This window comes from Homo sapiens, chromosome 6, assembly GCF_000001405.40.
Source record: "Homo sapiens chromosome 6, GRCh38.p14 Primary Assembly".
Lineage (NCBI taxonomy): Eukaryota > Metazoa > Chordata > Mammalia > Primates > Hominidae > Homo > Homo sapiens.
This window is the reverse complement of record NC_000006.12, coordinates 64033049-64045340: the sequence shown is the minus strand read 5'-3', so window position 1 is coordinate 64045340 and position 12292 is coordinate 64033049. Positions and strand designations below refer to the sequence as shown.

General features: G+C 34.1%; 1 protein-coding gene and 1 long non-coding RNA gene across 4 annotated transcripts in view; one reads left to right on the top strand and one right to left on the bottom strand.

The window, feature by feature from the left end:
• The window catches only part of EYS (eyes shut homolog), a 1987247-nt gene that overhangs the window by 1661886 nt on the left and 313069 nt on the right, over positions 1-12292 (top strand). The window lies entirely within an intron of this gene.
• The window catches only part of LOC107986608 (uncharacterized), a 94049-nt gene continuing 82544 nt past the window's right edge, over positions 788-12292 (bottom strand). For both annotated transcript variants that reach the window (XR_001744190.1, XR_001744188.1), the window contains one exon: positions 788-1007. This is a non-coding gene — a long non-coding RNA (uncharacterized LOC107986608). The remainder of the gene's footprint in view (positions 1008-12292) is intronic.

Genomic DNA, 12292 nt, shown 5'->3' with positions numbered 1-12292 from the left:
AAATAGGGAAATAATAGCAGTATCCACCTCAGTAAAAACGTTTGTCAACAAACTTAAAATATTTACACTCACCTTTTTAAAGTATTCCTGAAAAAGTTTTTCATTATTAAAAAAAAAGTAAAAATTAGTCAGAGTTTTCATTATCAGATGGCAAGTGCCTGTAGCCAAAGGATGCACACATAGTCATGGAGACGACTCACTCTGACCCCAGTAGCTGCTGGCTGAAAGCAATGTTTGTTCTATGAATGGCCTGTGTGCTCACAGAGAAAGATGGCTGAGTAAGGGCCATCTTACTTTTCCTTTTCCACTGGATTGATTACAATGAGACAATCTTTTTATGCCAAAGATTATCTCAATGTTCTATATACAATGTTCTACATACAGCTAATTCCCAAGGGAATTAGGTCTAAATTTAATTTTAACCACTGCATTTCATATTTTTCAGGAGTTATATTTGTCATTTGGTTTGTAATATCTACTCTCTGATCTAAACTATTCACTTCTGCCTTTTATTTTTGTGCTCATCTGGAAGCTAAATCAACAAAACAGCTTGGCATAGTAAATCATATGTTCTCACCATAAAGTTTATCATATTTTTTAAAGTAAAAAAAAATCACTCAAAATATTCTATAAGCAACAGTAAAAAAGAAAAAGTAAATTTTTCCCCTGAAAAGAACAGAAAGAATGTTAAGCACTCTAAGACATGTGTGGGGAATGTCGAAGACCAAAGGGCAAATACATTTTCATAACTACATTAAGTAACCAATGGAGCTGCACAGAATTATTCAGCTAAAATTCAAGCTGAGTTGAACACCAGGGTATGGCCACTCACCTTACATGAGTGCTTTACCTCATAAGTGAACTTACGTTCCACCTGAAGTGCTCCCCGGCTCTTTGCCATTTTGATTTTAGCCTTCATCACATTTTAACCAGAAAGCCTTTGCTTTAAATCATCTTGAGGTAATACTGATGGGCAGAAAGCCAGTAATGCAAGGGCTGTAGCAAATCTAGATGTGAACAAAAGCAGATAAATCACAATTTAACCAGTGATCAAGGCTCTCTGTTAATTAATGGAATTATTTTGAAACAAACTTTCCATTCAATGTAGGACCTGCAACAGCATAAAACGGAAGATAGAAAATATGTGTTTTCCAATAAACTGTTTTAAAAAGGAAGTAAATTTTTTGCTGAAAAGACCGTTGAACATATTTGGAATCCTATTTTCAAAAGATATAGAAATATGACATATTAACATGCACAAGGATTCACAAACAAAGCTAACTGAACATGTGCCTCATTAGCATAACTAATGAAACCACTCCCCAGGTCCAGGAGTTGCAGGGGAAGGAAGGTTTTCATGAAAAGTTCCTCAAGTTACGTGTGGAGTTGAAAATAACAATGAACAAGAAGTTTACTTAGTGTATTTCCCTTTATATTTTAAGGGGAACAGTAATGGTGGCATATTAAATAAGTGTGTTTTCATTTCATCTTTAAATCTGCTTTAATCAACCATATCCAAAGCTGAGGCTTCTTACCCAGGAAGTTACCACACAGAACAAAGCCTCTTAGATTTGACCTCCAAATGACTTTCTTGAATCTACAGCAAAACAGTGTTAGAGAGTATTATAAGGATACTTGGAGTAGATCAGTGAAGTGATTGCCAGGATCTTCTTCTCTGTACCCTCAAGGACCTACCCAACCCTTGAGAAAAGGAGGTGATTCTACAGGACTATCCAAAGGAAAATGAGGAACTAGAAAGTAATGGGCATATTCGTGTCAGAACCTCTAGGTGTTCGAGAGGACTCTATCTTTGAACTCAGCATTGGCTCCAACATGGTGCATGTGTGATGGCACAAAAGTAATGGTGGGAAGTGGCTGAAGAGTGATCAAGTAGCGGTCCTGGCTCCTCATGACCTGCGTGTGACACGCATGCAATCTAGATGTCCCCATGCTCTTCAGTAAGGCATGCAATAAATATTCATCCTGTTGCTATAAACATTCCAGAATGATGCTTACCTATATATGGAGTACTGAGCCTTGTGGTGCATTTCATATTGTACATGAAGGCTGTACCAATTATACTCCTGCCAGCAGTGCCCACCTACCCACCAGCACTAGATATTTTCAATCTTTTATAAAATTGACAAATTATTAGGTGAAAATGGTATTTTATCATTAGTTTAAAAAATGTCTATTCAGTACCTATGTCATAAACTTTTATGGGACCCAACTTAAATAAAAACAAAGTTCTTAAGATGATTAACATTTAATCATCATAACAACTCTATAAGAAAAATACTACTATCGTCTCCTTTTTATAGAAGAGGAAACTGAGCACAGAGATAGTAAATAACTTGTCCAAGGTCACCCAGCTAACTAGAATTCAAACCCAAGCAACCTGGCCCCAGAACCTGCACTCTATGTTATTATGGAAGCAGTTTTAGAAAAGTTTATGACATGAGGAAAGTGGAGTGGAAGTCCTTAAAGATGGTGGATGCGGAGACAAAGGAAAATGTTAATTGACTAGAGGCAAGTCAGCCGAGACCAGCCTAAAAGTACGTGGTCGACTCCTGATCTTTGGATCAGGAAGAGTATCTTAAGTGTCCAGAGAACAAAAAGATATACAAAATTACAAAGTCCTGGAAGAAAAAGCGAAAAGCCACTACATTGAACTCAGGTCGTATAAAGACTGTGGTTTCCATTCAGTCACAAGAAGTGAATCTGGAGAGGTAAAGAGGGAAGTGTGTGCACAAAATGGACAAAGAGCTTTCTTCCCAAGGCACTACCTGGGATATTCATGGAAGGTCTGTTGTTCGCAGTCTTCCGAACACAGTGGAGAAACATGCACTTCCTATTTGTATGAGCATTTAATAGAAATTGTCCTGACTCTACCATGAAAAGTAACCCCAAAGTCAAATGCTTTTGGAATAGAGCAGGGCATACTTATTCCCCATTTTCCAGTCACTAGCTAAATGTTTCCCTAAAGTGGTTTACAAAATAGTTAAGCCCTGTTACTAACTGAGAAGCAAGGCATTGCATGCACATTTATGTAAAAATTGTAAAGATTCAGAAGAAACTTTAATAATCATGGAATTAATTATTATTTCCTGATCCTGACCAGTACTCCAAATTAATTCTACAAATGACTCCAAGTCCAGTCCATCACTAACCAAAAATATGACCTGCTGCCTTATAATTCTTACTTTTTTAAGTATAAAGAAATTTCCGCTCTCGTTCATCATTAATATGTTATCTTGTGTGTTAGTGAACTTTCTAAAGGATAGAGATTTTTCTAACAGCTTTTTACCTTTTCTCACTTACACTGGTATTTTAGAAACTAAAAAAGAACTATGAAGAGGGGAGTGAGTGAGTTTCAAATGCATGAAAAGCAAAGGCAGGTAACACATGATGAGAGTGAAAAGAACCTAAAATGCTTTGAACATTTAAAAAAAGATCATATTTACTTTGGATTCCAGCTGACATACAGACCCATATTTGTTTTCTTTCTGCCTCAGATATAAACTTACAGTTAGATATATTAAGATTTCCAATTAATATGTGGACAGCAAAAATTTCAAAATAACGAAAATGAAAGAGGCAAAGACAGTTTTATTCCTATTCAGTATTTTCTGTCACAGTTTCTCCAATTTCCATCCCACATAGGGAAATTGGTATGTACTGAAGATTGTTATTGCCTTCTGAACATGTAAGAGCTTTGATACAAAAGGAATTTTGGTGGTTTATGATTTATTGCTTTATCATTTTTAGTGCCATCTCTGTTCATCCTCAAATCCAGGGCAGGCTACAGGACATTAAAAGGGCAACATTTTCTGGATTCTCTTTTTAAAGGGCAAAGCACTTACCATTTTCTACATAGAAAGCACTTATCTTTTGGCTCAGTGTTTTCAACGAGCAATACTGAAGGCTGCATTTTAGACCTCTTTAATACCAGAAAATTTATTTTTCCCGTATTCAACCAACTTTTAAATTTGTATGTACCATGATTCTTATTTTCCTGAAAACTGCAACTATTTTAGTCTACTTTAGTTCTACGTTTAAGGGAATTGTTTTTTTCATACACACTATACACACCACACACACACACAAGTACAGATCTATGATGGAACTGATTCCAAACTGTGGGGGTCCATATGATCCTTTCTGTCAGAATCAGCAGAGTCTATCACCCACTATCTAAAGAGGCAAAGCTCCACTACCACCTCCACCCCAAGGGGACAGAAATCTTAAAGGTATAGGTCATCTAAAATTACAAACACACTACCCATGCTTAGTAAATGACCATGTTTAAAATTAAAATGTAACTGAATACCTTCTCTTGAGTCTATTCTAATTTTTAAAATTTTCTTTTCTATGAACCAAAATCTGATTGCAGATTTTGAAATGAATACCTCTATTTAAACACAGGTTGTATTTTTCCCCCTTATACCAGTGCCCTTAATTATTATTTTTCATAGGCAATTGTAAAGCTCAGCTCCAGCTTTTTAGGAGCTCGAGGATAAGGAGCTGACAAACTAAAGAGCCAGATAATGAATATTTTAGCCTTTGCAGGCCATACAATCTATGTTGAACTACTCAACTTTGTCACTGCAGCTCTAGAGCAGCCATAGACAATGTGTAAATCAGTGGATATGGCTGTGTTCCAACAAAATTTTAAGTGTGCTGTATTTGACTCTTTGTCCTTAGTTTTTCAATCTTGGGTCTAGGTTATAAACTAATACTTTTTATCTTAGTTGTGCGCCATATTAAAATTTCCAAAACCAATTTAAAATGTCAGAAAATAAAACCAAATTAACATTTGAAAATCAATAGGTATATGTTCCAAATAATACAAAATTTAAAATTCTACCTAAATGTTTACATAGAACAGTTTTTAAAAGCTCATTAACTTTCACAAGATTGATTATTTTCAGAAGCAATGAGTTATCAAATACACATAATGAAATGAAAGTGCATTCCAACTACAATTCCAAATTACACTTAAGTAATTTTTGTCCTGCTATTCACCACCACCCCCATAGCATTACTAGTAACTCTGAGGCATCTTCCATATATCACCACATTACCACAAGCACAAAAGACAGAAACAAAGGTTTAGTGCCAAAATGTTTGCTGGATTTAAATATAGTAGCTTCAAACTCTCAATTTACACGGTATGGAAATGCAGAGATAAGAATTATTTTAAAAGGATACCTCTACAAAAGAACTGAAAACGTTTTTTCAGTTCTAACTTGGAACTGATTAAGTTACTGCTAATTAAGAAAAATTAACTTTGCAAGCTCTATCTTGCCATATGGACACATTGCCATTCAAGAATTTCTTCTTTCCATCTATTTCAGTGCTATGAGGTTATCTTTCTAAGAACATATTTAAGTATGCAATGTGGAAATCAAAGATTTAGAAATAATCCCTATGTTATTAAGTTTAATTCTGCACATCAAAATTCTTAAAATTGTTGATAATAGCAAAATAATCAAATATGTACAAATAAAAGAAAAGGGAAATTATGAGAATTTTCTAAAAATTGTGGAGAATCCAAAAATAATAAAATGTGTAGCTTTCTAACTTTCTACCTCATCACCTAAATTCCTGCCTCTCAAGCTACAACCACACATTCATTTCATAAATAAATTTCATGGAAACATTTTTTTTTGCCATTAAAACAATGGCAACCTTATATTCCCATTTAAATAAATTTTAAGACTGCAGCACATATTTTATTCCAGTTAGTAACCAGTATATTTGCAAAATTCCAGACTCTCAAACCCAGAATGTCTTGCCAGGGATCTATTTAAAAGTAGAATTATTCATAGGTAAAAACTTTAATCTGGAAAGAGCTTCCTCTTTTATTTATCCCTCTAACATGCTTATTGAAGTCAAATTTCCCAAATTTACTCGTACTATACCGCTTCTAATATTTTTAACATGTATTCCCTTGCTTTGCAATACCATGCCTCAGAAATTTTACTCTCCTTTAAGCAGTTGACTTGAGTTAGATTCCTGTCCAAAAGAGTTCAGTTTTCTTCTTTAGTAACCATCACAATAATACTTACCTAAGTAATTCTTATCTAAAGTAAAAATTCAATCTGTCTGAATGAATGATCTATTAAGAAATTTATTTTGTGTAGACCAAAGTATCTGATATATTGATTTCTACATTTGTCAGTCAGGTATTTGAAAATTAGGTAGAATAGGCCAGTCAGGTATTTGAAAATTAGGTAGAATAGAACAGACTCACACCTGTAATCCCAGCACTTTGAGAGCCCAAGGCGGGCAGATCATCTGAGGTCAGGAGTTTGAGACCAGCCTGGCCAATGTGGCGAAACCCTGTCTCCAATAAAAATACAAAAATTAGCCATACACGGTTGTAGGGACCTGTGGTTCTAGCTACTCAGGAGAGTGAGGCTGAAGAATCTCTTGAACCTAGGAGGCGGAGGTTGCAGTGAGCCAAGATCGCGCGACTGCACTCCAGCCCGGGCTACAGAGCGAGACTCCGTCTCAAGAAAAAAAAAAAGAAAGAAAGAAAAAGAAAACAAAAGTAAAAAGAAAATTAGGTAGAATAAAGTAAATAAACCACTTAAAAATGTTCTACTTTGTGAAGACATCTTCAGAATAAGAATTAGTCTCATATCATTAAAAAAATGGAGGAAAAAAGAAATTGCCCATGATATTTTTATGCACACAATATTTTTTACTTAATTTTATAAAACATTTTATATAATTTTATAAACTATTAGGATATATAAAGTATATCCTAATATTGCACAATGAAGTACTGGATTTTGATAGTCAATTAGGAATGTGGATATTAAAAGTGACAAAACCTCAGCTCTAGAAGATAAGACTTTTATTTTAATGTATTGTTTATTTTAAGACAGGTAAAATCATATATATTTATCATGTACAACATGATGTCTTGAAGTACACATACATTATGGGATGGTTAAAATATAGCTAATTAACATATATATTACCTCACAGTTATCATTTTCATGGTAAGAATATTTAGTAGGCATTCCTTAGCATTTTTCAAGAAAATGATATATCGTTACTAACTGTAGTCACCATGCTGTGAAATAGACCTCCTGAACAGATTCAACCTATCTAAGTGTAAATTTGTATCTTTTAACCAACATCTGCCCTATCCACATCCCCCAATCCACATCCCCACTTAACCCCCAGCCTCAACCACCCCAGCCTCTGGTAACCACCATTCTATTCTTTATTTTTATAAAAGAAATTGCACCTGATTAATTTTGCATAAGGAGATTTTAAATGACCACTAATCAGAAAAAGTCAATTTGATCTAAAATATGTTTTAGTTCATTTTGGATGTTTATTCAATTTTATTCAGATAAATTGAAACTTTACCCAGTGCCTAAATTACAATTTAAGTATCTATATGATTGATGTTTCCACAGTTTTAGAAAATGAAATGCCACATTTCAACTCATCTGAACTAATAAAATATCATTCAATAAATTAAACCCTTCTGTGTTTTGAGGCAGGCATAAAATTCACAGTGACTCTGTACCCTATTAATGATTTTAGGAGGAGGTGAAAAATCAGAAATAATGACAGATGGAATAGCTAGTAAATCCGTAGCAACCTAGCATCTCATCTGCATGTGTGTGTTTATTCATTGTTTCATAGTTTACTAATGATTCATATTCATTGAATATGATCTTGTTAAGATGCTGCCAAGGGGAGTAGTTTATTCAAAACCTCATTCCCTCATTGGGAAATCTATCATATTTCTCATAATCTTTGCCTATCTTTTTTCCATGGATGTTTCACATTTTACATTTTTAAGTGACTATAGCAATCTATTTTGTTTGAAAATAGCAATTCCATAAAAGAATGAATTGCACATTTTGTGATGCAAACTCAAATACATTTGTCTGGTTTTCTATTAATATTCATGAAATTTGTTGCACTATTTGTTTTCTAGATTGTATTTAATTTAGTTTCCACTTTTGTACTAAATGTGGTTGAATACAAAGCCCAGATTGCTATTTTGTGAAGTGTACTGAAGTGTTAATGTATAATGTGGTTAAAAATGACTAATGAAAAAGTTAATAGGACCGTTTTCCACAGTCTACTTCCCAATATGTTCTGGAACAATCTTCCATTATCACTAGTCTTTTTAGATTTGGGAAAAATATAAAAATATTTGCCACTGTAATCATTATAAAATACAATAAGCTGTAATGTAAAGTGACAGGGTAGTATATAACCACATTTTTAAATTCCACTTAGTTGCCTATTATATGATCTAGTTTTGTGTTCCATGGCCATCTGAGGCTCCACATTTCCAAAACATAATGCATTATTTTATCTCACACTCCAAATATTCTCTTCCTCTTGTAATACTCATCCTAGTTACTAAGAATAGTTGAAATCATGTGCATTGGAATTAGATGGTCCCGAGTTCAAATCCTAGCATTGCCACTATCCTCCGTGTGGTCTAGAGCAAGTTACTTAAGCCAAGTGTCCTCATCTGTAGAAGGTAGATAACATTTATTACATCATAGATTGAAAGAGAAGATATAGGCAAAGTATTTAGCAGTGTCCTAAATCAGTAAGTATGAGTCTTACTTAGCCTCCTTCTTTATCATACACTTTACAGCCAATCCAGGCCCAAGTTTTTGTTACTCCTTAAATGTCTCAGTAACTCAAACTATCCTTTTCTCTTTATCCCCACTGTGACAGCCTTAGTTTATGCCCTCATTGTTCACCTGCGTGATGTCTGTAGCTCCTCAATGGTCTCCTTACTTAAACACTAACCCTCTCTAATCCATCTTCCATAAGATTAAGATTAAAATTGTTCCACATTATTCCAGAATAATAACTCTTCTATAGTATTCCAGATTAATGTCACTAATGTCTGGAACAATGTCATTACATTACAAATCTCATTATTTTACTTTTCCAAATTAAGTTTTCAATATTCTATACCCAAAATTATTTGTATGATTATTAAGGCCATCCATGATCTGAGACGTAGCTCCTGCATTAGCTCTCACTACTCACTCCCCATTCTGCACCCAAACTCCATCACCCTTAACAGTCCTATCATCTTTTTTTTTCTATTATACTTTAAGTTCTATCATCTTTACATGCTTTTGCATTTGCTGTTTCCTAGTCTGGAATGGCAGAGAAGCAACAAATACTTCTCCAGCTAGATCTAAGTTGTCACTGTACATTACTGTATTATACAACAAAATTTGCTGTATAAGATCTCTTAGAAGATTACTTCTTTGGTTATTACAGAAAGAACAAGTGTAAATCAGAATTCTAGTTCAAAATCTTTTCAGTCATACAGCACTACTCTTTAGTACTAACACAAACTAATGCCTTCAAGAAGATCAGAAGTACAGCTTTCCAAACCAAAACTTCAGAGCTAAGCCCAGAATCCAATTTTAATAAGATATGCTAGAGTGAATCTCTGAGAACTTATAATCAGATTTTCTAATAATCACTTTCTTATATAAGGTTAAAAGTAATAGAATTTAAAGAGATAAAAATTAAAAATTTTTAAAGCACTGCAGTGAAAAATGTTTTAAAAGAAAAAAGCATTTAGGATGACATGAAAATACAATTATTATGCAATAAGAAAAAATAAGATGCATCACTTTGAAGGTTGTCCTCTTACTGTCATTACTTTGAGTAAAGTGTCAAATTTCCCCTGCACATTTTCAGGGATGTAGTTGCATCTTACATGATTCTTTACTCTGGTTTCATAGAAAGTGTATTACTTCTTCATAGGCAGGTGAAACTAAACATAACCTAGGCTTCAAAGAACCAACATCGGAGTATTTGCAAGACCTGGCTCTGATTTCCTCATTCAGTGGTCTGGACATGTTTGAGATGTCATTCCATATCTAGCCCTGCCCTACCTAGTTTCTTTCTCCTCCCTATGAGTCATAGATTTTTAAGGCTATAACTGCATTTACCATCACATCTAAAGAATTTTCTAGCATGAAAGTATAGTTTCTAGGAATTCAATGGTTGTTGTAATTATTCTAATACTGTCATATAAATCTGTCATGCTTGTTGAGTAAACACAAATTAACCATAATCCTAGATGAAGAAAAATTGAATTCACTTAATCTCTTTACTGTCTCTGTAATTAAAATAGTCATTATTAAAGAGTTTATCACACTGGACACTATTGACACTAAGGACCAGATAAGTCTTTGCTGTGGGGCCTGTCATGTGTACTGCCACGTGTTCAGCAGTATCCCTGGCTTCTCTATGCTACATGTCAGTAGCCTCCACCCCACCCTTCAGCTGTGACAATCTCCAGACATTGACGTCTAGCTATTCTCTGTTTATAAACATAATATCCCTTTTAATTCCAAACAGAAAGCAGATGCCTTATTCCTTAAAATTCTCATTACCACATGTTGCTTTGGTAAGATATTAAAAATAGAAATATATAATTTCATCTTGCTGCAGCTTAGACTCTTTTTTTTTCCTTTAGTTGTAAGAGAATGCCTCGTGTTGCTTGTCATTATTCACTGTATGCTTGATTGTCCATTATTCCTCTTAATGCCATAGATGGATTATTTCCTGGCCTAATAACTCTGCTTCCTTTGACCTCTACAACTTTAAGACAGCATAGCATAGTACAGAGATTCCCAAACTTGGTCGCACATGGGAATCACCTCGGAAGCTTCAAGAACCCTTGGCATCTGTGTCCTACTCCCACAGACTGGGAGTTAATTGCTCTTGGTTATGACCTGAGAACTGTTATTTTTTGAGTCTCTCCAGGATATTCCAATGTGGAGATGGCGTTGGGAACTACTGGGATAAGAGTTAAGTGTGCAGACTCAGGGCCAGGCTGCTTGGGGCCCCATCTGGCTCTGCTCCTTGAGAGTGTGTGCAAGTCACTTGCATTCCTGTGTTTTGATTACCTTATCTGTAAAATAAATACCGTAAGATAACATTGCCTACATCTGGAGGTTATGAGCTAATATATGTAGTACATATATAAAAGTACTTGGTCTCTGGCATTTGGCAAGTATTATTCAATTGTAAGCTAGTTGTGGTGGTAGTACTAGTAGTGGTGGTATTAACAAGTACCATGTATTATCACTTTTTATTGCTCCCCTCAATCATTCTGTCTTCAACTTTATTTTTGTTTGTTTGTTTTAATTTTAATCTAACACTTACTGGACCCTGGATTTGGCCTACCATTTAATTTGACTGCCCTGCTATTGCAGACCATTACCCAATACAGGCATGACCAATAACAATCTATTAGGAATCTAGATCCATTTTTACTTCCCTTTGTTTTGTTGAATTTATGTTAATTAAATCAGTGCTCCTGACAAATTAGACTATACTGTAAAAATGTTCAAGATACTACTCAGCTACTCCACACCTGAATATTTGTTAAGGCCAAATTCTTTAGATTATATGTATATTTTAACAATGTAAGTCCACTCCCAATTTTATATATATATATATAGAGAGAGAGAGAGAGAGAGTAATCTCATTTGTGTCAGAATTACTTTGCAACAATTGAATGTATGTATACACAACATTATCAACATAACTAGTTTGAATGGGGAAGTTCTAGAAAACAATAATTCTAATTTTTCTAATAATTTTAAATTTGTTTTTGTAGCAACCTATCTGATCTGAATATAATTAACCTGTTAAATATTTTAAATGTAAATTTAAATAGATAAAAAATTTTGACAATTAATGAAGGTGTTATGTCCAAGTTTACATAATTTATTTAAAAATATTTGCAGCAGGACTTCTGACCTATTTTAGACAGTAATTAACCTTATTATTATAGTTACTATTGCGTGCTTAGAAATTTATTTATTAGTACTCTTTTTCAGGTTCAGAGATGAAAATTATTTCTTGAATTAACTTAAAATATTTTAGGGAATAAAACTTTGATATGTTTCACTTTCATCTTTATCTCTTGAAAAAGTCTTTTCAGAATTTACCAGAAAACCACATTTAATAGCTATGTGCCTATTAGAGTAAAAGGAGCCTTTTTTCTCTAACGGAAGTAGACTTACGATGAGTAGGTGAAAAATTATATGAGAAGTGTTTTGACTCACTGTATGAGAAGTAGAAACAACAACAAGACAAATAATGTAATGAAAAATGAGCAAAAACTTGACTAGACATTTCTTCAGAGTAGACATATAGACAGCTGTTACATAATAAGAAATCTAAATGTGGTTTCTGTCTCTAGCTCCTGGCAGAGCTTCTAAAATTCTTGTAACCTCCTGAGTGATAGGAGCAT